Consider the following 26337-nt stretch of genomic DNA (forward strand, 5'->3'; position numbering starts at 1 on the left):
TTTTGCAAAGGAGATAAGAGCCTTGAAGAAAAGGAGCACAGTGGCTGGCCATCAGTTGACAATGACCAATTGAGAGCAATTATCAAAGCTGATTCTTTTACAACTACACTAGAAGTTGCTGAAGAACTCAACGTCTACCATTCTACGTTGTACAGCATTTGAAGCAAATTGGAAAGGTGAAAAAGCTTGATAAGTGGGTGCCTCCTGAGCTGAGCAAAAATTTAAAAATTTGTCATTTTGAAGTGCTGTCTTCTCTTACTCTACACAATAGCATTGAACCATTTCTCTATTCTACACAATAACATTGAACATTTCTCGACCTGATTGTGATGCGCAACAAAAAGTGGATTTTATACGACAATCGGTGAAGGCCAGCTCAGTGGTTGGACTCAGAAGAAGCTCCAAAGCACTTCCCAAAGCCAAACTTGCACCAAAAAAAGGTCACGGTCACTGTTTGGTGGTTTGCTGCCTGGCTGAGCTACTACAGCTTTCTGAATCCCAGCGATACCGTTACATCTGAGACATATGCTTAGCAAATCGATAAGATGCACTGAAAACTGTAATGCCTGCAGCTGGCCTTGGTCAAGAGAAAGGGCCCAGTTATTCACAACAATGCCGGACCACACATTGCACAACCAACTCTTCAAAAGTTGAACAAATTGGGCTATGAAGTTTTGCCTCATCCGCCATACTCACCTGACCTCTTGCCAACCTACTACTACTCCTTCAAGCATCTTGACAACTTTTTGCTGGGAAAACACTTCCACAACCAGCAGGATCCAGAAAATGCTTTCCAAGAGTTTATCGAATCCTGAAGCATGGATTTTTATGCTACAGGATTAAACAAACTTATTTCTCATTGGCAAAAATGTATTGATTGTAATCATCCCTATTTTGATTAATAAAGATGTGTTTGAGCTTAGTTTTAATGATTTAAAATTCATGGACTGGAACCACTATTACCTTTGCACCAATCATTTCCTGACACACTGATAACAGCCTGCTAAAGCAAGTACTATAATTATACTTCTTATAAGGAAAATGAGGCTTACAGACTTGTAGCCATTTGCCCAAACAATATGGCCAGCACCTGGGAAAGCCTGAGCTAGAACACAGGTCTGTTTGGATTCTCCATGTGCAAGAAGTCTGAATGGAAGCTTTAGCCATCACATCAATACTACTGCAATACAAATGCATTTACAGTCACCTTGTCATGGGCTGAAATAAGTTTAGTCACAGGGCATAGCATCCCCCAAGAAGTCTCAAACAATAATAAATGATAAAGAATCCCACTATTCCAATAAAATTTTTTCTTTTATTTGTGCAATAACTCTTTCTTCTAAGACCACATTCTCTTTCCCCATTTCTTCCTCACACTGCCTTTCTACTCCTCAATACTTGAGGTTTTCAAAGGAGGTGAAGTGTAACTTTGCCCTCACAGTCTTGACTTTTGACTTCTTGGATTGGAAAAGTCATTAAGACTCCAGAAACAGAAACATTTTATGACAACTGGATGAGTAGAACTGTTTTTTTAAAGTAACTGAATTTTAAAAATTCTAGTCTGTGGATTAATTATTCTATTAAGCCAACTGTACAAAATTTCCTGATAGAAAAATATTTGTCTTTATATAGCAAATATTCCCAACTTTATTGCATTTTCCAGAAATGTGAGGCAAATCCCAGTTGATGGTCAATGTTCATAAAACAAGTTAACCTCCATGGGGTGAAAGACATGCTGTGATTTGGATGATATCATTGCTTTATGCTGACAAAGAAAAAAAATTAAATACAGCACAGATCACCCCATCTGTGTGCTGCTTATGACTTCATGTGTTCTAATCGCCTGTACACACGTCAACTATATTCAGGTATCCTTTAAATGCCTTTACTTTCAAATCCCTAGAGCATTTCATAACATAAAAGAATAACTTAAAATCAGTTGTAATGTATGAACTCAAGTTGTGTCTTTTTTGAACTTCTCCCAACTTCTGTCTCTTCTAATTGGCCCTGAGATCCCTTGTCTTAGATTAAATCAAAGCATATACAGCCTAAATTGAAAACAGACATAGCTACTACATAAACCAAGAAAGGAGAAATGTAAAAATTATTCCTACTAAAACACATCCTGTGAATGCAACTGAAACCACATGATTGTCAAAGATGTTTATTTGATGTTTAAAGATGTTTATCACTCTGAATACTGTCAAGCAATCAGCATAAACTTAGTTGCTATGTGAATGCCAAGGCTGACAAGAGCCATAAAGTTGAAGAGCTTTGTGATGAACTAATTAAGGTGCGCTAGAAATTTCTTTTATCTAAAATGTCATGCCACAATGCAGAAGTTTCAGATTCAGCGTGGGCAGGAAGTATATAAGAAAATGAGTCATCACCTTTTGGAATAATGTTTTCAAACACATAATGGCTCTTAGACTCCTATCTTCTCTACCCTCCAGCCACCCTACCTCAGCACACACCCAGCTCCACACTGGCCTTAAGGTGTCTCATCACCTCATACATCAACATCCTTAGCATTTGTTTCCTTAACATGCTGAATCCTCCTAGAGATGTTTGCCATTAACCCCAAGGAATCAAAGGAGCTGCATCCCTAACCCCACACATGTATTCTGTAATGCTGGACAAGTCACTTAACTCTCCAACCCACAGTGTCCTCATCTGTAAAATGAGGACAATAAAGTATTAGATGTGCTACCCACTGTGTATGTATGTGAAATCATAATGCCTGTTCTACTCTCCATATGTATGTGAAAGTATTTACTAGAAATATTAAGGCAAGAAGCATTAACCAATGCTAGATTAACTATTGGAGTCATCAAATACCTCTCATTATCCTCATATAGGTAGCACCAGGGACAAAACTACTTTACTCTCAACTGTGAGCATCTAGCACAGGGGTTGGCAAACATTTTCTTTAAGAGGCAGACATTAAATATTTTAGGCTTTGCAGGCCATACGGTCTCTGTTGCATCTACTCAACTGTACTATTGTAGCACAAAAGCAGCAACAAACAATACATACATGAATGGGTGTGGCTGGAGTTGACTCTTAGTTCTTAGTTTGCCAACCCTGATCGAGACTATGTGACAGAAATGATGAGTGTATTTAAACTGGGAGAAATATAAATGGTTTCTGCCACTCCTCATTCTGTCCTCTGGTTTACAGTAATTAGAAAATGACTGAAAATAAGAGAGAAGAAAAAAAAATGCCACTTCTTCTCTTCCAGATAAACCAAAAGAGGACATGAACATAAAAGGGTTCTCCCACAAAGTTTGAGGAATCTAAGGTGGAAGAACCCGACATTCTGTTTCATGGGTAAAAATTGAGAGTAGGATTCCGCTGACATTGGCCATGCCATGGGATATGCAGACAGGAAATACAGTTCTAGCCATATGTGACTGTAGAAAGGAGGTGATAGCGATGAATGCCCACTAAGTATACAGAGGAGATACAGAAGTGGCCACGTGCCCAGCAAAAGTGGAAGGTAGCTTGGAGAGGCAGCTGACATGCTAACAGGAGAGTCACCAAGGCAGATGGCTTCAAGCAGTCACCCAAACTGGGGCTGAAATGGAAGGCACAGCTACACTTGAAGGACTCTGCAGCCTTTGTGTGAATTATGGTGGGATTCCAAGACAGCAGTAGAGATAGGGGCATTTTACAAGAAAGAACCATGGGCACTACTTCAACAGAGGCCAAGCTGAGAGACGACAACAGAGGATACAGGCAGGATGGGCTTCACAGGCATGTGACCCATTACAGTTACACAGGGCCCTGCACTCAGTTTAATGCTCTGCTGTAGCTATCTTGAAATTCTTATTTTTGAACAAGCAGCCCCACATTTTCATTTTGCACGGGACCCTCCAAATTATGTAACCAGTCCCGATGGCAGCAGGGAAACCAGTCTAAACTAGATACTGGATGTGTTTCCCCCATTACTTCCACCAGACTACCATGCTAGCAAACTTCCCTCCCACTCCCCAACACTGATGTTCAGTGTTTGTGTGATACCCCAAGATATAAAGGAGGAGAGCTTGGGAGAAGGCAAAGGAAAGACGATAATGGAATTTTGATTTGGTCTAGGATTGACTTATACATGAATGTAATAACAACAAAATAATCACCAGATAAAATTTTACTGGAAAATATATAGATTAAGTTCTCTACCTCTGGCAAGGATTACAAGGAAGGAGTATAGGACAGGTAAGTAAAGAGCAAAGTTGAATTCAGTCATAAAAAATCAATCATTAGCCTTGTGCCCCTGACTTTTACATGTATCTTAACTTTGAAATATAATACTGGTTACAGTTTTATAAACTATAAAGTACTATAGGACTTTCAGGCTATGCATGCAAAGAAATTTTCCTTTAAGTCTCATCACTATTCTTCTTTTTCTAATTTTGAAAAAGAAAAGCAAGAAGACTCATATGGGGCCTGGAGGCAGCCAGAGTTCATTCAGTCTTTCCAACAATGAAATGACTGTACAGCTCCTCTCAGAGGAGGCTGGTGAGGACCTCTCATTAAGAGGGAATGGTACAGGAGTACTCTGCCCCAAAACTATCGATTGCGTCTCTCTCTGCCCCACCTAACCTCCTTACTTTAGACACATTTCTCATTTTCCCTTCCATGCTCCTCTTCTATGCTTTCTCTAAAATTTTAAAATGAAATCCCAGTGATATTCTGCTTTTGAAGAGGCCTCTCTATCCCTCACTTCCTTGAAATGTGCCCCAAGCCCAAACATGACCCCTCATATCCTTTTGAACTCTCACTCTTCCAGAATTACAGAATGGTGTTGAGAAATCAAGTTGGTTAAATTTAAATCACATGGCAGCATGACTACTGTAACTGTATATTCCTCACTGTCTTTGTTTGTTAACACTAGAGGATTTTTGATTGAAATTAAAATAGAAGTAGCCATTTTTAAAGAGGGTGGGTTGAAGGAAGAGTGAGGAAGGTCTTTCTTTAAATCATATCGCTAGCTTATTCTTCTTTGTGAAATAAGCCCTGGCAGAAGGAGGGGAAGAAGAACACAGCAGACATATCTTTTTCCTCCTCTTCCCTCTCAACATACTTAATTCTCAAATCCCCTTTTCTTTGCTAAGTGCCAGCCTCCTTGTTTGAGTCTCAGTCCAATATTACTTTCTTGGAAAGCCAAGCTGAACCCACGGTTCACATATCAGGCATATCTTTGCTTCTAAAACCTGGTGTTGAGGGTGGAGGAGCAGGAGTACCAAGACTATACCAGCCTGCAGGGCTCCAGGAGCATACTGCAAGTGGAAAAGCTCCCTCTAAAAGCCTAGGGCAGTGGTGCTCAAGCTTCAGTGTACCTCAGAATCCCCTGGAGAGCTTGTTAATAGATTATTGGTCACCACCTCCAGTTTCTGAATTTGTGAGACTGGGGTGGGGCCTGAGAATTTGCATTTCTCACAAGTTTCTAGGTGATGCTGATGCTGTTAGTCCCAAGACCAAACATGGAGAAAAAATGCTCTAGGACAAAGTAGGACTAAGTCCAGAAAATTGCAAAGAAGCCCCAGCCCCAGTATATCTACCTATTTCAACCAGCAACTCTGCCTTCTCAAAGTTAAACTAGAAATACTTGTCTTAGTTGGATAAAAATAATATTAACTGTAATTATTTCCATGAAAGGATTATATGCCACATTATCATTCATTTTCCAGCAGGGTCCCTGCTTGAGAGTTTAGACTTGTGGATTACAAAATGATGCCCAACTGACCAAACCTTCTTTGCAGACATGGTTTCAGTGTGTGTGTGCTTAATGAGACATTTTTATATCAGATTTCACAAATAATCCATTTAGATTTTGTTGAAAAAGTCAGAATATTTGGCACCACTTGACCTTTAGTCCTGCATAGCTACATTTAGCTGGAGTTGGGTAGTAGCTTATCCATTTAGATGGAGCATTTACTAGCTAGTTTACCACAATCCTTATTACTCACTATTACCTCTTTAGCCCTAAGAGTCAATTGCCATGTGTTTATTACTATGTTTGCACTATGTTTTTTTGTTATTGCAGAGAAATTCTTCTCTGTACCTAAGGGGAAAAACAAAAGCTACACCAAGAGAGTTTCATGTTTCAATTTAGAAAAAAAGAAGAATTTTTAGTTCTCAGGGGTTTCATACACAACTACTCTGCCAGCATCACTGTTTATTATCCATCTATCCTCCGAAACCAATTGAGTTTGGGTCCAGTCCAGACAAGCCTGGATGGCAAACAGAAATGCAAGGGGGATGGGTGGAAGCAAGAGGCCAACTCTGTGTGTAGGGTGGTCAAAGAAACGTCCTGGAGAGGAATTGTCCAACAAGAAGAAGCTGTGCTCCATCTACAAGCTTGATCCAAGGTCAATGTTACTTTCCAAGGGGAGAAGGAATGTTGTGCATAGCAGGGAATGGGTTCCTCAGGATGCCTCTATAGGCATGCAGCCAAAGCTGAGGCCCCTAGCAGGTATAAATAGAAGCACACCAGGAAAGGCTCTGTAAGAACTGGCTATGCAGGAGACAGGAAGTGGATTTGGGGGCACTCCTGAATGGTCCCTGTTGGAACCAGAAGAGGTAGCAGAGGCATCAACAAATCTTCAAAGGCAGCTCAGGAGCAGAACAGTGTTTGGAAGGCCTAAGGAACATGCCCTGGGGACCACCTCTTAAATTAACCTGGCAGAAAGTGAAGAGAAGGTTCTATAATAGTTCAGGTAGAAATGAAGTCAAGGAAATATGATACTGATCTTTTACTGTTACACCCCAGGCTTTCTCAGCATGAAAACTATGGGTTATATTTCATTTCACAAACTTTTTTTGTGTCCCATGATACTGCATAACAAGCACACCAGCACCATGCTGGATGCAAAGACACACACACAAAAATAAAACATGTTGCTTTCCTCAAGAATGTCATAGTCTAAGAGAGTGGTTGATTTGGTTTGGCTTTGTGCCCTCACCCAAATCTCATCTTAAATTGTAATCCCCAAGTGTTGAGAGAGGGACCTGGTGGGAGGTGATTGGATCATGGGGGCATTTTCCCCCATGCTGTTCTCATGTTAGTGAGTGAGTTCTCACAAGATCTGATGGTTTTATAAGGGGCTCTTCCCCCTTCACTTCTCTCTCCTGCTGCCATGTAAGACGTGCCTGCTTCCTCTTCTGCCATGATTGTAAGTTTCCTCAGGCCTCCCCAGACATGCAGAACTGTGAATCAATTAAACCTCTTTTGTTTATAAATTACCCAGTCTCAGATATTTCTTTATAGCAGTGTGAGAAAAGACTAATACAGTGGTTTTCAAATTTGTTTGACAGTTGATAAATAAAAAAGTTAATCACTTATCCCAAAACATGTATATGTATTTATAAATTATGTGTTATGTTACTCTCCTTATGTTTTAGGTGTATTATAAATCATATCAAAAAACAGAAAAAAATAACAAAATGAAGTAATTATAACAAATATTATATGTATATAGTATAAAAGACATCATAAATATATATAATAACAGCTCACACCCCAATGACTTCTCATGTGAAAACTGGTCTACAAAACAGACATTTAAGCAAATTTAAAAAATAAAAGAAAGCTTGGGACATGCTTTAGTAGTGGTCTCATATCTGAGGATTAACTAGACCTATTCCCAAATTAGTGGCAGTCTCATATCTGAGGATTAACTAGACCTAATCCTGAATAACTGCTAAGATCATAAGAAATTAAAAACTTGCAAAGACAAATGGCTGTGGATTAGGACAGAGGTGCAGGCTTTGAAGATTGAGCATTTCCCAGCAGATGGTACTCCTGTTGGTCCCTAAGAGGGGAAAGTAAGCTCTTTGCAGGCCAAGGCAAAAGCACAAAAACACATAGCTGTCTTGTGGTTTGATGTGAACCTAGGAGGAAAAGTTCAAAATGGAGGACAAGTGCAGCAAAATAATAAGTATGTATATTGTAAAACACAACAGATTAACTCAGGAAAGTTGCATGTTATAATAAGACTACACTCTGAGTTTGCATGTTCAGCCTTCAGTTTGTCCTTCATACGGCACTGTTATCCATTCACATCAGAAAAAAAGAAAAAGTGAGCCTTGGCGGTAGCCATGGTAACTAAATACTGAGCATGAGGGCAGAGGAAGGTCAAGGAACGTTCTATAGTTACACATCAAGAAAGTACAAAACACAGGTTATTTTTAAGTTTGGCTACGTTCCTATAATTTTTAATGTCTAAAATTTAAGATGTACATAAACAGTAAAGTCTGTTTCTCATGTAGGCATGAGAAAAAATATTTTCCCAGTAATTTAATACTATCTTCTTATTTTGTTGACACTTTATTTTCATCAGCTGCCATTCAAGCCAACAAAAATGCCCAGAGTTAGTATTTTCCAAATTTGAACCAGGGAGGGTGTCCTTTACCCTTCTTCCCCTTGTTTTCTGTTCACCCCTATTCTTAGTATACTAGCATGACTCACCATCCACAGAACATAAATTGAGAATTGCTTTTCTAGGAGTACTGGTGTGTTTGCCTTGAGTCGTTCATATGCTGTCATCTAATGACACTTGTGGCCAAGGACAGAGATTTGCCAGACAGCTGACAAACCAGAGTGAGGGTGTAGCATAGCCAATGAACAAAGGACTTCCCCCACACCAGGCACAGCCAGCTGTCCTAGGCAGAGAAGGAGCCTGCAGTATTGGACTCCTGGGCCAACTGAGGTAACAGACCTAAACACCCCTCTGTCCTTTCTACACTTCTGCTCCAAGGGAATATACACAAAGACTAGTGGGAGGATAAGGAGAAATATGAAAGAAAACAAATCAAAACCTCAAAAGATAAGACGAATGTGTTTTTAAAAATCTCTTATAGTACCCTATGCAAAAGATAGTGACATACATGAATTGTCTAAAAATAAAGTTTCTCTTCTAAGGATTATAAATAGCAGGATTCTGCTTGAACAAAAGTCCTAGCCAGGACCAAAGACTTAGAGGTTTTCTATTTCTCCATAGATTTCACCTAGATTGTAAACTAGTGATACCCTGTATTTGATACACTGTTTCAGTTTTACCAAAATAGTTCCATTGTTTTTATTAAATAGTTGTCAAGTGCATATTTATAAATACCATACCCTACATATGAATGTATCATTGAAAAGGTGATTTTAGAGTAAATCTTTGTCACTTTAAAATTTACTACTCAAAACTAAGTTTGAAGACAGACTTGATGTAAATGTTACCTATGAAATTATTTTCAGGATCTACTTTATTGTTTTCGAATTATTTTCAGGACCTACTTTATTGTTTCATTGTTACTGAGTGATTTCAAAGGGCCAGGCCCTTGGTAAAGGAAGGAGTTGTAGATGATTTGTGTCAGCATGGACCTCACAGTAACAAAACTGTTCCCATTGAAAAGATAAATCACAGAGAGAGCTGGAGAAATTAGGAAGATTTTTGCCTATGCTAGCTGATTAGGTGAATGAGTTATTTCCAAGTCAACTTTTATTTTAGTTTATTCTAAAAATAAATTGATATTTCTTTCACAAAGCCAATTCTGCAAAATGTTACTATGCAAGGCCATATAGGTTTCATCCACAGTGGCTCAAAGAGAGTGAATTTTTTTAAAGATTTTTATTTACTATTTTATTATTTTTATTTTTTTTATTATACTTTAAGTTCTAGGGTACATGTGCATAACATGCAGGTTTGTTACGTATGTATACATGTGCCATGTTGGTGTGCAGCATCCATTAACTCGTCATTTACATTAGGTATATCTCCTAATGCTATCCCTTCCCCCTCCCCCCACTTCCCAACAGGCCCCGGTGTGTGATGTTCTCTGCCCTGTGTCCATGTGTATTGTTCAATTCCCACCTATGAGTGAGAACATGTGGTGTTTGGTTTTCTGTCCTTGTGATAGTTTGCTCCAAATGATGGTTTCCAGCTTCATCCATGTCCCTACAAAGGACATGAGCTCATCCTTTTTTATGGCTGCATAGTATTCCATGGTGTATATGTGCCACATTTTCTTAATCCAGTCTATCACTGATGGACATTTGGGTTGGTTCCAAGTCTTTGCTATTGTGAATAGTGCTACAATAAACATACATGTGCATGTGTCTTTATAGCAGCATGATTTATAATCCTTTGGGTATATACCCAGTAATGGTATGGCTGGGTCAAATGGTATTTCTAGTTCTAGATCCTTGAGGAATTGCCACACTGTCTTCCACAGTGATTGAATAGTTTGCAGTCCCACCAACAGTGTAAAAGTGTTCCTATTTCTCCACATCCTTTCCAGCAACTGTTGTTTCCTGACTTTTTAATGATCACCATTCTAACTGGTGTGAGATGGTATCTCACTGTGGTTTTGATTTGCATTTCTCTGATGACCAGTCATGATGAACATTTTTTCATGTGTCTTTTGGCTGCATAAATGTCTTCTTTTGAGAAGTGTCTGTTCATATCCTTTGCCCACTTTTTGATGGGGTTGATTTTTTCTTGTAAATTTGTTTAAGTTCTTTTTAGATTCTGGATATTAGCCCTTTGTAAGATGGATAGATTCTAAAAATTTTCTCCCATTCTATAGGTTGCCTGTTCACTCTGAGGATAGTTTTGCTGTGCAGAAGCTCTTTTGCTGTGCAGAAGCTCTTTAGTTTAATTAGATACCATTTGTCAATTTTGGCTTTTATTGCCATTGCTTTTGGTGTTTTGGTCATGAAGTCCTTGTCCATGCCTATGTCCTGAATGGTATTGCCTAGGTTTTCTTCTAGGGTTTTTATGGTTTTAGGTCTAACATTTAAGTCTTTAATCCATCTTGAATTAATTTCTGTATAAGGTGTAAGGAAGGGATACAGTTTCAGCTTTCTACATATGGCTAGCCAGTTTTCCCAGCACCATTTATTAAATAGGGAATCCTTTCCCCATTTCTTGTTTTTGTCAGGTTTGTCAAAGATCAGATGGTTGTAGATGTGTGGTATTATTTCTGAGGCCTCTGTTCTGTTCCATTGGTCTCTATCTCTGTTTTGGTACCAGTACCATGCTGTTTTGGTTAATGTAGCCTTGTAGTATAGTGTGAAGTCAGGTAGTGTGATGCCTCCAGCTTTGTTCTCTTTGCTTAGGATTGTCTTGGCAATGTGGGCTCTTTTTTGGTTCCATATGAACTTTAAAGTAGTTTTTTCCAATTCTGTAAAGACAGTCATTGGTAGCTTGATGGGGATGGCATAGGATCTATAAATTACCTTAGGCAGTATGGCCATTTTCAAAATATTGATTCTTCCTACCCATGAGCATGGAATGTTCTTCCATTTGTTTGTATCCTCTCTTATTTCGTTGAGCACTGGTTTGTAGTTCTCCTCGAAGAGGTCCTTCACATCCCTTGTAAGTTGGCTTCCTAGGTATTTTATTCTCTTTGTAGCAATTGTGAATGGGAGTTCACTCATGATTTGGCTCTCTGTTTGTCTATTATTGGTGTAAAGGAATGCTTGTGGTTTTTGCACACTGATTTTGTATCCTGAGACTGCTGAAGTTGCTTATCAGCTTAAGGAGATTTGGGGCTGAGACGATGGGGTTTTCTAAATATACAATCATGTCATGTGCAAACAGGGACAATCTGACTTCCTCTTTTCCTAATTGAATACTCTTTATTTATTTCTCCTGCCTGATTGCCCTGGCCAGAATTTCCAACACTATGTTGAATAGGAGTGGTGAGAGAGGGCATCCCTGTCTTGTGCCAGTTTTCAAAGGGAATGCTTCCAGCTTTTGCCCATGCAGTATGATATTGGCTGTGGGTTTGTCATAAATAGCTCTTATTATTTTGAGATACGTCCCATCAATACCTAGTTTGTTGAGAGTTTTTAGCACGAAGGGCGTTGAATTTTGTCGAAGGCCTTTTTGCATCTAATGAGATAATCATGCGGGTTTTGTCTTTCATTCTGTTTATATGATGGATTACATTTATTGATCTGTGTATGTTGAACCAGCCTTGCATCCCAGGGATGAAGCTCACTTGATCATAGTGGATAAACTTTTTGCTGTGCTGCTAGATTCAGTTTGCCAGTATTTTATTGAGGATTTTTGCATCTCTGTTCATCAGGGATATTGGTCTAAAATTCTCTTCTTTTGTTGTGTCTCTGCCAGGCTTTGGTATCACGATAATGCTGGCCTCATAAAATGGAGAGTGAATTTTTAATGTAGCCTTTTAAAAAATCGAAAAAGTACTCTGTATTCTGGCTGTTGATTTTTTTCAAAGAACAAAATTATATCATAGGTACAATATCAATTCAGAGGTCCCTACAGATTTGTTCACTTTTCTTCAGAAGATGATTTTAAATCATTGGAGATTTCTTTGCCTCTTTAAGTCTTGAAATATAAATGAATGGGTAAATTATTGTTAGGGACTTAACTAACAATTAAATCATGTTTGATTCGGCCCAGATTCCACATTTTTATGCCTCTGCTGTTTCACACAATGAGAACTTAAAATCAGGTTTCCTGGAATACAGTAACCTGGCAGTAAAATTATGGCCTCTCAAACTCTGCTCCCACCCATGATGGGGGACCAAGAGACTTTCCTCAAAGACCCTTATTCAGCTATTTCTAGAATTCCCCAAGGGTGGGAGGGATGAATAACTCTGCTCTTAAATGCTGTCCTGACAGCTACCAAGAGACACTCTTACATTTCCTTCTCTCTTGATTTCTGCTGAGTGACTTTTCCCGTCATCATTGATACTACTGAGGTGTTATCAAAGGTACCAAGGAAGAGAATCTCAGGAAGGTGCACAGCCTCCAAGGTTTAAACCACTCAAACTTCTCACACACTAAAGGCACACTCATCTCTGCTTATTTAATCTGCTTGAGGGCTTTAATTACTCAGAAGAGTGAAGGAGCATAGTACAGTAGATTCCAGCTAACCTTGATCAACTGGAACACTGAATTGAAACAATGGGATTTTCTTGTTAATTTTCTCTTTAAGACCAATGGCAGGGCTGGAATCCCTGATGCTCTTGAGGCCCTTAGGATCACAGAAGTCATAAGAGTTGCAGAAGTCACTGCTGCAAGGCTGGGTACAGTGGCTCATGCCTGTAATCCCAGCACTTTGGGAGGCCGAGGCAGGCAGATCACTTGAACTCAGGAGTTCAAGACCATCCTGGACAACATGGTGAAACCCTGTCTCTACTAAAAATACAAAAGTTAGCCAGGCTAGCGGCATGTGCCTGTAATCCCAGCTACTTGGGAGGCTGAGGGGAGGATCACTTTAGCCTGGGAGGCCAAGGTTGCAGTGAGCCAAGATTGCGCCACTCCAGCCTGGGCGACAGAGTGAGACCCTGTCTCAGGAAAAAAAAAAAAAAGAAGACACTTCTGCAAAAAGCTTCCATTGTAAAACTGTATGCACCAAAGTTGGAAGCAGAATGGCTTCTAAGTTCCTTCTAGGAACAGGAGATCTAGTGGGAACAATCTGGTTAGAAGTAGGTACAAGGGAATCATAGATTACCTTGAGGCTGCATTTACTTAGAAAGCATACTTTTGTCACAAATCAATAATTATACGGTGGAGCTTTACAGAGTTGCTCATGGAGATTATGGGACAGATAAAGCCCTGTCCCAAAGCTATCTTTTGATGACGAGACAGGTGGAGAGAATTCATCTCTTTCTAACTCATTTTGGGTTGCCAATTTGTGCTGACAATAAGCCAGAAGTGCGGTGACATTTTAATGGACACTGGCAGAAATCCTCTGTATTTAGGTCAAGACAAACAATGGGAAATGATGTGCTGGTAAGCCAGCTCTCCAGAAAAAATAAAAATAAAAAAAGAAGGACTTGATTGGTAGCATTTGCACTTCCCATGGTGTAAATACCCCCATCATGGTCAATTTCAAGCTACCAGCATGACATTACTGAACGCAGAGTTGAGAAGAGATGAGCACAATCAGTTCCTGCAAGCCAGTGCCAGCTGGCTCCAGCACACCACTGAGAAAGGGCCAAATAACTCCTGCAGCCTCAACTCCCCGCTCTCACTTTTCCATGCAGACGGAATCAGATTGGAAAAACTTCCCTGCATTCCTAAGTGAAATATTATGAAGACAGAACTTGGAGAGATATACCAGATAAACCTGGCATCATTTGCTGTGCCCGATAAGGATAAAGATCATGCCTCAGTCCACAGTATTATGGCTGGTTCAAAGCAGACAGAATAGCATGGAAAAGGAGGAAAAAATCAGAAGGAAATAATTTGTCTTCTTGAAGTATGTGACAATAAGCTAGGGAGAAAATATGTGAGTTTGTATGGACAAACTTAAAACAAATGGCCTCTGTAAAGAAAACAAGCTGGATTTTGAACTGCAGTCAATGTTTTGTTCTTGTTTTTCTTTCTTTTATTAGAAATAAAGCTTAGTTCATAAGAATATTGGCTTTCTCATCTTCCTCACAATCCTCATTTCAGCAATCCTCTTGGCCAGAGATGCCTCATGGGAGAGCCTGAGTCTGTGATATTTCGGTAACAGTTGCTGATGTGTTGATACAGTCGGGAATCTCTCCTTGCTCACTATGAGGTAACTGCCACAAGTACAGTCCAAAAAGATGATGTCAAAGATATATACAAACAAATGGTGACCTTGAAGACTTCTAATGCATCTCTAATGGAACAAGGAGAGATGTACTTATTGGTCAGGGTCCTTCATGATCTGCTGAGAACATGTTTGAGCTGGGGAGGAACTGTCATCAAGAACCGAGAATTAGTCATTAGTAACATTGGCTAAGAGACTAACTGGGCATTCCAAAGCAATTAGCTGGTAACTAGGCATTTCAAAGAAAGTAGCTGCTTGCTTTGTGCCTTAGTTTCTCCAATCTAAGTTGGGAAATCATTAACTGTTGCATTTTTCATAGGAGTACGTTATAAGATTTCATGAATTAATTTATTGAAAATAAATAATTTTAAAAGAAAGATTTTAAAGACAAGGCCCTGTGTATCACGGCTGTCTCAGCCAAACTGCATTGTAACAACTCCTGCATTATCTCTGTTACATTCCATTATGTGGCACAGTGACAGTTGAAAGACAACCTGTTTTACTGTCATGAATTTCAGGCTATGCTTATTCCAGCTGCGCACAGTTGTATGCCTGCTAGTGGTCTTTTGGGGCAGGAAATATTAGCCAAAGAAGGTTAATGCTTCATCATAGGTTATATATAAATAGTGAAGCAATAAAAGACATAGTACTATGATTTTTGTCATTCACTGAGCTGTGATATAAATCCAACATCTGGATCTCATACTTTGGAGCCAGTTTATTCACAGCAACTGATGAGTACAGTCAGCCTGGGGATTTTGCTTTTCCTCTTCTTATCCTCCTTTATTTCACAGGGCTTTGATTAGAAAGCCTAAGATAAATTTAACCCAAGTAAGATATAAAAATGGAAACAGAAATTATACTTATTTTTGTCTGCATATTATAGCTTTGGTGTAACTGCCATGTCTTTAATCCCACAAGATCATAAACTGCTTGAGGGCAAAAACTATCAAATTCACTCTTGTAACCCCTGCAGCAATTAGCATAGGGCTTTCACATAATGCACAAGCAACAAATCTTGGTGCAATTGGATTAGGCTAAAAAAAAAAGGCAGCATATGGGAAAATGCAATGGATATCAGTACATTCTACGTAATCTCCAAAGGCAGCTCCACTCTGGCTCAGATAAATTAAAGAATGTAAAAAATGTGGACTGATATCTCAAAAGTTCTCAGAATCATAAGGCCCCTACTAGAATGCAACTAGTGGAAGCAACTAGAATGTTGCTTCTACTCATGGACTCTTTATTAAGATGAGGAATTGACAGGGTTTCCCAGAAATTACAGAGAAATCAGAAAAGCCAAACTGTGACTAAAAGGTTAAGAAACTAGAAAGATTTTGAACGACTCCAATAGGAAAAACTAAGCTCTGCCAGAGACAGGGGTTACAAACAGGCTGCTGACCAATGTGATAGGCCAATATTATACTCTCCCCAGATAACCTCTAATGAAATGTCTCCAGATCTTTGAATTCACTCTTCAGCATGTTAACACAGAGGTCCTGCATTATAGCAATTCCCTGGTTTGTTGAGAGAAGGAAATCTAAGCTACTAAAAGTTGTGAGAAAAGGAGACCATCCTGGCTAACACGGTGAAACCCCATCTCTACTAAAAATACAAAAAATTAGCCACGTGTGGTGGCATGCGCCTGTAGTCCCAGCTACTCGGGAGGCTGAGGCAGGAGAATCACTTGAACCCAGAAGGCAGAGGTTGCGGTGAGCCGAGATCACGCCACTGCACTCCAGCCTGGGCGACAAGAGCGAGACTCCGTCCAAAAAAAAAAAAGGTTAAATGGATTGTAAGAAAATATGGTCATGATTGGAGTGTGCAAACACATGTTCTTTGTCCCTTTGAGAATAGAACAAAAGTTACAATGTGCAAACATACGTGGAAGTCCTTAAAATATGAAGGAGGGCAGGCATAGGACAATGAAAAGTAAGCTATTCTTAATGCTGTAAAACAGAGTATAGTCACTCCTTGAGATGAATCAAACAGCTCAGGTTTGGAAAGATTTAGGTAAATAAGTAGATGATCAATTTATAATAGGACACTAAGAAGAAGTTAGAAATATTTATGTACCACTCCAGCCTTTGAGGAGAATGTCCTGGAGAGCAAGTGTCATATTATTTGACAAAGGTCACTGGGTATCCCTATCCAAAATAAACTCTAGGTTAGAAAGACCACAAACTTAAACTAGTGCTTGGTAAGTTCTTCCTAACACTGAAGTACAAATTAGGCCATTGTTAAGAAGTAATTCTCAATTAAAGAGGGAAAATAAATCAGCAAATCTTTCCTACTATGCTAAATAAACCAGTCAACAAATATTTCTTGAGAATCTATTAAAGGCAAATCACCATGGATATCCTACCTCACCTCAATAAAAAAATATGCATTTGCATGACCACATATTATTGCTATGATGGTTTGCTTTTCTTGTTAATATATAAGTCAATATTTTAGGAGTTTAAACTTGGTAAAAACATGTAATAATTGCATTGAGCAGATGACATAAATAAGATAGGAAAATAACTTCTGGGTTTTTTTTATGACCTTCATTTTGAAAATCCATCACGGGCTCTTTGGGCAACTTTTTGGGAATCTAACATTATTTCAGAATAAAAAGTTTTAAAAATACACTGTGGCAAAATGAAAAGCAAAAAAGCACTGAGATACAAGCTGATCTTTTAAAATGCTCAACTCCAAGTCAATAAAATTCTAAGAATCTGGAAATTCTGGATTCCATCTGCTTTCTCCAACCTTCATGGCAAATCAATTAGGTTTACTGCCAAGCCTGTGATTGTGCAGGAAGTGAAGGAGAAATTGCAGGTGAAGAGAATTTTCACTATGAAGGGCTTATCGAAGACATTAAACAACATTTGTAGTATTAAAAGCCATGCAACCAGTAAGAGGGAAATGCTGAGACCCGTCTACAAAGTGGAATGGCAGGCAAGATTGACTTCCTGTGTTCAAGAATCACATAACTCCATGAGACCACAGGTGAGGGCTCACTGGGAAATGCCCCCACCAATTTACCACGCTGGTCTTTGACTCCATGGACTTCTCTTAAGAAATGGGTATGACAGGCCGGACGCAGTGGCCTGTGATCCCAGCAGTTTGGGAGGCTGAGGCAGGCAATCACCTGAGTTCAGGAGTTCAAGACCACCCTGACCAACATGGAGAAACACCATCTCTACTAAAAATACAAAATTAGCCGGGCGTGGTGGCACATGCCTGTAATCCCAGCTACTTGGGAGGCTGAGGCAAGAGAATCGCTTGAACCTGGGAAGTGGAGGTTGCAGTGAGCCGAGATCGTGCCGTTGCACTCCAGCCTGGGCAACAAGGAGCGACGTCTCAAAAAAAAAAAAAAAAAGGTATGACCGAAGAGTAAAACTTCCTTTTTTTTTTTTTTATTGATCATTCTTGGGTGTTTCTCGCAGAGGGGGATTTGGCAGGGTCATAGGACAATAGTGGAGGGAAGGTCAGCAGATAAACAAGTGAACAAAGGTCTCTGGTTTTCCTAGGCAGAGGACCCTGCGGCCTTCCGCGGTGTTTGTGTCCCTGGGTACTTGAGATTAGGGAGTGGTGATGACTCTTAACGAGCATGCTGCCTTCAAGCATCTGTTTAACAAAGCACATCTTGCACCGCCCTTAATCCATTTAACCCTGAGTGGACACAGCACATGTTTCAGAGAGCACAGGGTTGGGGATAAGGTCACAGATCAACAGGATCCCAAGGCAAAAGAATTTTTCTTAGTACAGAACAAAATGAAGTCTCCCATGTCTACTTCTTTCTACACAGACACGGCAACCATCCGATTTCTCAATCTTTTCCCCACCTTTCCCCCCCTTCTATTCCACAAAACCGCCATTGTCATCATGGCCCGTTCTCAATGAGCTGTTGGGTACACCTCCCAGACGGGGTGGTGGCCGGGTAGAGGGGCTCCTCACTTCCCAGTAGGGGCGGCCGGGCAGAGGCGCCCCTCTCCTCCCGGACGGGGCGGCTGGCCGGGCAGGGGGCTGACCCCCCCGACCTCCCTCCCGGACGGGGCGGCTGGCCGGGCGGGGGGCTGACGCCCCCACCTCCCTCCCTGACGGGGCGGCTGGCCGGGCGGGGGACTGACCCCCCCACCTCCCTCCCGGACGGGGCGGCTGGCCGGGCAGAGGGGCTCCTCACTTCCCAGTAGGGGCAGCCGGGCAGAGGTGCCCCTCACCTCCCGGACGGGGCGGCTGGCCGGGCGGGGGGCTGGCCCCCCCACCTCCCTCCCGGACGGGGCAGCTGGCCGGGCGGGGGGTAGACCCCCCCACCTCCCTCCCGGACGGGGCGGCTGGCCGGGCGGGGGGCTGACCCCCACCTCCCTCCCGGACGGGGTGGCTGCGGGGCGGAGACGCTCCTCACTTCCCAGACGGGGTGGCTGCTGGGCGGAGGGGCTCCTCACTTCTGGGACGGGGCGGCTGCCGGGTGGAGGGGCTCCTCACTTCTCAGACGGGGCGGCCGGGCAGAGACGCTCCTCACCTCCCAGATGGGGCGGCGGAGCAGAGGCGCTCCCCACAGCTCAGACAATGGGTGGCCGGGCAGAGACGCTCCTCACTTCCTAGATGGGATGGCGGCCGGGAAGAGGCGCTCCTCACTTCCTAGATGGGATGGTGGCCGGGCAGAGACGCTCCTCACTTTCCAGACTGGGCAGCCAGGCAGAGGGGCTCCTCACGTCCCAGACGATGGATGGCCAGGCAGAGACGCTCCTCACTTCCCAGACGGGGTGGCGGCCTGGCAGAGGCTGCACTCTCGGCACTTTGGGAGGCCAAGGCAGGCGGCTGGGAGGTGGAGGTTGTAGCGAGCCAAGATCACGCCACTGCACTCCAGCCTGGGCACCATTGAGCACTGAGTGAACCAGACTCCGTCTGCAATCCCGGCACCTCGGGAGGCCGAGGCTGGCGGATCCCTCGCGGTTAGGAGCTGGAGACCAGCCCGGCCAACACAGCGAAACCCCGTCTCCACCAAAAAAATACGAAAACCAGTCAGGTGTGGCAGCGCGCGCCTGCAATCGCAGGCACTCGGCAGGCTGAGGCAGGAGAATCAGGCAGGGAGGTTGCAGTGAGCCGAGATGGCAGCAGTACAGTCCAGCCTTGGCTCGGCATCAGAGGGAGACCGTGGGGAGAGGGAGAGGGAGAGGGGGAGGGGGAGGGAAACTTCCTCTTTCTTCCCACTCTATTTCATAAATCCATGTCTACACACATGCAGGATCCCCAGTCAGTGTCATCCGTGGAGTTAGCCCTCCCTGATTTCTTAACAACCCTGCAAAGGATGAAGGACCAATGAGTTCTCAGAAGAGCAATCTTTTTACTATTAGAGAGGAAACAAAGAAGGAAGAAAATGTTCAAAGTGAACCTAAGATAGCTTTATATTTATGGTCCACAGTGAAAAATCTTGGAGTGAAAGTGTAAAGTTTCTTAATTGTTTGGGGAAATGATTCCCTAACTTATTTGTCCAATTTTTAGATCAGATGAAAAATGAAGAGTATTAGAAAATTTGTAGTTAGAATTCATTCTGCTCCTGGAACATCTATTAAACAAAAATAAAGTCAATCCATAGATTTTCTTTTTTCTTTAGAAATTTTATTATCCAAATTATACTATTTATTTAGTGCTGTTTGTAACATAATCAAGCCAAAACAATCAGCAGGAAGAAAATCACATATTTTTAAATGTTTATGCCAAAAGCATTAGCATTACAAGCATTAATCAATTTTTAATAGATTATCAAGGAAATAAACAATTTTAAAATGCATTTCAAAAATCTACCAATTTTTAGAAACATTTTTCTGAAAAACTTAAGTATTTTGGTAATCTAACATGATTTTAAGGGGAAAAATGGATATATCCCTGACTTGTAGTGAGTCACTGGGTGTCTCACTTCACTTTTCTGTGTCTTATTTGTAAAATAATGGAATTGTACCTCATTGGAGGTTGCAAACTGGTGACCCATTGGCCATAACCAGCCTGTGGACATATCCTATTTGCCAAGCATGTTTTTAAATCTGGGAAATTTCACATTCAGATTCTGATTCCTCATTTCTCTTAAACAACTATAAGATTGGCAACACTGGGTCTACATTCCCATGCAACAACAAAAGGCATACACTGAATAGCAGCTGTCGCCTTAGACAAGGTATGGACTCCTGGTGTTATGTTATCTGCCTGACTACTTAGGCATCTAAGTTTTTGATAAAATGGATTACCTCTAAATTTTCTTTCAGTTCTAACATGCTCATATTAGATTGAGCTGTATAGCAAAAGGGCCATTTAACCTCTCTAAGCCTCAACTTTATTTGAGTATGGAGATAACAATAATATCTGACTACCATTTGAGCTTTGTAGAGACAAAATGAAGTCATGAATGGTGACAACTCAGCACAGCACTATGCATGTAGAAAGTACTTAATAAATAGAAGAGGTAACAATAAAGGCAAATAATGGTAAACACAATGACTCAAATATAATTTTGTGATGGTCAATCCAATTTTACATACTGATGCTTCTCTTTCAAAGGCAGCATTGATCCCACCAAAAAATCAGTTATTTGCCTCTAATTTTCAGATACATTTCCCTCAGTTAATACTAAACAGGTTGTGATACTTCAATGAGATTCAGCCAATTAAAAGAAGTATTCTTTGAGTGTCTCTGGTTCTCATATTCTCCACTTCTGGTTGAACCAGCTATCAATATTTGATTCGTAGTAAGTTTTGATCCTACTTGATGTGCGTACATAGTCTACTATCAGTTACTCTTATTAAACACAAATAACCAATTTAACAGAGAGTTTGTGCTGGGCTTCTCATTGATACAAGAGTCACAAATGAGCCCATCTTTGTTATAAATTTTTTTTTCTACAATTGTAATTATATTGATGTTCATATTGTGTAAAATAACTCATTTAATAAAGTAGTACTTTGATTTACAACATCAAAAAAGGACCCCACAGGAGTTTTTAGGTGTCCCCTACCATCGTAAGTTGTTTTACAGTCAGTCTATCACTTGACACTCACCTAGCTCACTTCCTCAGCCACACCCTTTATATGTTAGATTGCTTTATTAATAACGAAGCTTAAATGGACCTGTTCCAGTGTGTGACTGGCACAGATTTATCCACACTTTAAAGGCTTCATTTTTAAATTAAACTAACTTACACATACTGCTCCTGTGTATATGTGTATTTGTAGAGAAAAAAATTCATAAGTTCTAGCCCAGCAATACCCTAGGACAGGTAATAAAATTTCAGACAATTAAAATAATTTATAATCCCCATGGAGTTTGTTTTATTGGGATTTTTACCTGTAATTGTGTAAGTGTTGCTTATATCACCTCAGAACTTGTGACTGATTAAAGAGAACTGAGCCAGTATAAAGGGTGTTCCACTGACTTTCAGTCCAACATAAATTCGAGGCTGAGACAAGATAGAAATAGAGCTGTAGTAGGCTACGCATTCTGACTTCCACTCCTACCTCCATCCCCTCTCCTCCCATCTCTGCAATAACCACTCTACCCTAAGTGCAGCCCCTCCAACTCATACACTTCAAAGCTCTTAGAAAAATATTTTCAACACAAAAGTGGTTTTGTGTCAATTCTCTGCTCAAGATTCTTGAGTCATTTGCCAAGATTCTTTGAGCTATTCCCCAAAATAAACTTCTTACTCTTACAAGACCTAAGCTTTTCAAGGTCTTTATACTCTTTTCTCATCCTTCCCCTCAAAGCACCCTATACTGAACTATGTCCTACTGATCTCTCTTCCCTAAACACACCACCCTTTCTCAAGGCCCCTGGAACTCTGTCTCTCTCCTACTCCCCACACTATTAATCTTATTATTCCTCAAATCTCAATGCAAGCATTACTTTCCCTTCCCTGATTTCCTTAGGAAAACTTAGCTGCTTCTTTTCTTACTCTCCTTGAACACTGATTCACATGTAAGTATGGCAGCCACCATGTTTATTTGAGCATGTGAGCTTATTGAAAGCAGGAACCACATTTAATTTTTTTTTTTTTTACTCCCAGCACCTACTACATCCTAGCACATCATAGCCAACACAATATCTACTAAATATTGAATAAATGAACCTGCTGAATTTCTATAGTCTATATATTTGTAGATTCCATTCTGCAAAGTCATAAGACTGTGCTTGTTACCACTACATTAATTAACAATATATATTTTTGCACCTCTTTTTTTGAACACATTTTTCCTTCTTCATTTATTCCTTTAGGACAGTACATCTGGTTGTGCTTAATACCTATTAACAACAACAAACTATCCAATCCCACCAATATAATAAGATCATTATTTTGCTGAGTCTTACAAATTTGAAACTTTCTAAGTATTTATAGGACATTTGTAACAAAATTTAAAGCATCACCATGGCATAGACTACTTTGAGAACTAATGTCAAAATATATAATCAGATTTACACAGAGAAAACTTAAGAGATCTTGACTTATAATCACCCAATTTTCAAAACTCACAAAATTTTCATTTTCTGAAGCTATTGCTATAGTTAGATTCTCCTTAAGAACTTATATTTATTAGAATATATTTATTCTTAAAAACAAATCCTCTAGTTGTTCCATTCACCATTTGAATCTTCCTTTTCATAGCTAATGGTAGATAATATGCTAACAACTATGGAGTAGTGTTTGCAGCTGCAATCATTATAAAATATTATAAACTCCTATATTAATCAAGGCAAAGCCCAAATTCTCTAGAGTGACATATCTGTTTCTTATTATAGTAATTGAATGCTGTGGATGTAACCACTAGCCATCTCAGTAAAATCTCCCTCTTGCATGTTTAGCCTAAAATTTAAATGAGCTAATCTACATTGCACAGTCATTCACAGAGAAGACTGTAGCTCTGCAGAATGGCATGCTTCCTGTGAAAGTGCTATGCACCTCAGTGGTTTCAAATCCATGGTGGCTTCTTTAGTGGTAAACATTTCGTTTACCTGGGTTCACACTCCTTGACTTTCACTTGGACAAACCTGAAAGCTCAAGGAAGCTACAACTGCCAACTTTTGCATAGTTTCTAGCCGCAACCATCAATCTCTCCCTGGCAATAAAAGGAGACTAAACCTTGGTTTGCCCCAGTTCACCTGGGAAAATGATGACTCTTTCATTACATCTGAGCCAAGGATGACGTTCTCCAGCAAATGTAAACTGGGTGCACAACGTTCCAACAGTTCTGTAATTTGGGGAGTTGGATTTTTTACACACAATGTGGCACATTTCCTGAGCTGGCTAATTGAGCCAGTTGCTTCTAAAAACCTGATGCCAAGAGTCTGCCCAATCATTTAAAACATCTTCTCTTTTTGGTTTTTTAAATAGTCAGTGTTCATTTCCTTGGTTAACATTGGTGTCATATCAAATGAAGTCACCAAACCTTAGGGAGGAGAAAATTTGCCTCCAAAAAAGTAGCATATTATTCAGAGGAAACATTTAGTCAAAACCGAAAAAGAAACGATTAAGGCATAAGGATGGTATGAACAACTCTACAAACTTCTGTCGTATTAAAAACCTTTATATATTTTTAGCTATAACAAAGTTTGAGTGCAAGTAGGGAAAAAGGAAAGAAAACGGTTATAAACATAGAAATGTAGAATTTTAGATTTCTTTAAAGAGTTCTTTTTTTCCCCTGCAAGAAACACTGGAAATCAGGTGCAGTATATATTTATCTTCTTCCTTTGTTTTTAATTGGCAGGAAGCATTTTCAATGAAATCGCTAGTTTACCATACATTAGCTTGAGCCAAGAATTGCATTTTCAAATCTCAAAAGACCTTTGGATGAGGTCAAGGTATCCTAAAGAAAATGTGCAGGGAGCCCTGGGATTCCACTGACTATTTGAAGAGAAGAGGAGAACAATGCTCTTCATCCATGGATTTGTAGACCTGTGCTTTACCTTACCAAACTGAGATGATTTAAAATAATCATAGGATAGAAAGATAGATGGAGGCTAGTTGTCTAGGGAATAAAGAATAGTGAACTTTGAAAGCTAATGTTAAGGACTGAAAGGTCCTGAAGTTATTTTTGCATTCTAGGTGTATGGGATTTTGATCAAGGATACTTTGGAAAGATCTTTATTTTTTTAACTGTGGCTCAAGACCTTTTCAGTGTGCCCTTAGCTAAATATCCAGGTGAGGCTACATGTATTAAATCTTCATCTTAAAAGTAAACTGTATTTAAAAACCTAAATGCACCCAGAGGTAGTCACAAATACAAATCAGACCTCTTTTCCCATTCTTTGAAGATTGAGCCCTTGAAGAAATCAAACCAGGTACCAATATAGAAGAAAGGGAATTTCTTCAGGATTCTTCATTGGCACTTTTCAAACATAAAAAAAAATAAAAATAATTGTAATATCACATTATTTTTATGGGGAGCTGTTCCCTACATATAGAATAATACCCCCCACATAGATGAGGAAAAAAGTCTTTGTAATTTTGCTTCAAAGATAGCATGCCAGACACTAAATAAGTTTGAAATTTCTGTTTATATTTGAACATTCACATTTATTAAATTTACTTTAACCTGGGTGGTAAACACACAGCATGGATTTTGTCATACCTTCCTCCTAGATCACTAATTAGCTATGGCATCCTTTGACTGCTGAGCCTGAATACATTCTCAGAAGCCTTCTCAATACATCACTGGAACAGCCTCTACTAATAGGTGAGAGTTCCTATTTACAAGGATATGTATTTAGCATTTCTGATCTCAATTCTTTTAAAATGAAATATGATTAATTCTTATGTGCTATTACTGTAAAAATAAGATAGCAAATACATCCCTTTAAAGATAAATGCCTTACAAAGACTTCATGTCCAGGAACCCAAAAGCAAATGCAACAAAAACAAAGATAAATAGATGGGACTTAATTGAACTAAAAAGCTTCTGCACAGCAAAGGAAATAATGAGCAGAGTAAATACACAACCCACAGAGTGGAAGAAAATCTTTGCAATCTATGCATCCAACAAAGAACCAATATGCAGAATCTACAAGGAATATAAACAAAACACCAAACAATCCCATCAAAAAGTGGGCTAAGGGCATGAATGGACAATTCTCAAAAGAAGATACACAAATGGCCAACAAACATATGAAAAAATGCTCAACATCACTAATGATCAGGGAAATGTAAATCAAAACCACAGTGTGATACCACCTTACTCTAGCAAGAATGACCATAATAAAAAAATAATAGATGTTGGTGTGGATGTGGTGGGATACACTGTTGGTAGGAATGTAAACTAGTACAACTACTATGGAAAACAATGTGGAGATTCTTTAAAGAACTAAAAGTAGAACTACCACCACTTGATTCAGTAATTCCACTACTGGGTATCTACCCAGAGGAAAATAAGGCATTATACGAAAAAGATACTTGCATATGCATGTTTATAGCAGCACAATTCGCAATTGCAAAAAAGATATGGAACCAACCCAAATGCCCATCAATCAACAAGCGGATAAAGAAATTGTGGTATATATGCACCATGGAATACTACTCAGTCGTGAAAAGGAATGAAATAATGGCATTTGCAGCAACCTGAATGGATTTGGAGACCATTATTCTAAGTGAAGTAACTCAGGAATGGAAAACCAAACATCGTATGTTCTCTCATAAGTGGGAGATAAGCTATGAAGACGCAAAGGCATAAGAATGATACAATGGACTTTGGGGACTTGGGGGGAAAGGATGGGAGGGCAGTGAGAGATAAAAGACTGCATTTTGGGTACAGTGTA

The 26337-nt window shown here is 40.0% G+C and overlaps 1 protein-coding gene, 1 long non-coding RNA gene and 1 other non-coding gene across 8 annotated transcripts in view; 2 read left to right on the forward strand and 1 right to left on the reverse strand.

The window, feature by feature from the left end:
• FILIP1 (filamin A interacting protein 1) overlaps positions 1-26337 on the reverse strand; it is a 201942-nt gene that overhangs the window by 131184 nt on the left and 44421 nt on the right. The window lies entirely within an intron of this gene.
• Positions 1-26337, forward strand: part of LOC101928540 (uncharacterized) — a 75715-nt gene that overhangs the window by 39857 nt on the left and 9521 nt on the right. The gene's annotated exons all lie outside the window — the stretch shown is intronic.
• Positions 5365-5431, forward strand: MIR4463 (microRNA 4463). The gene has a single exon (NR_039670.1). It is a non-coding gene; the product is annotated as a microRNA 4463 (primary transcript).

The sequence above is a fragment of the Homo sapiens genome, chromosome 6 (assembly GCF_000001405.40).
Source record: "Homo sapiens chromosome 6, GRCh38.p14 Primary Assembly".
Classification (NCBI taxonomy): Eukaryota; Metazoa; Chordata; class Mammalia; order Primates; family Hominidae; genus Homo; species Homo sapiens.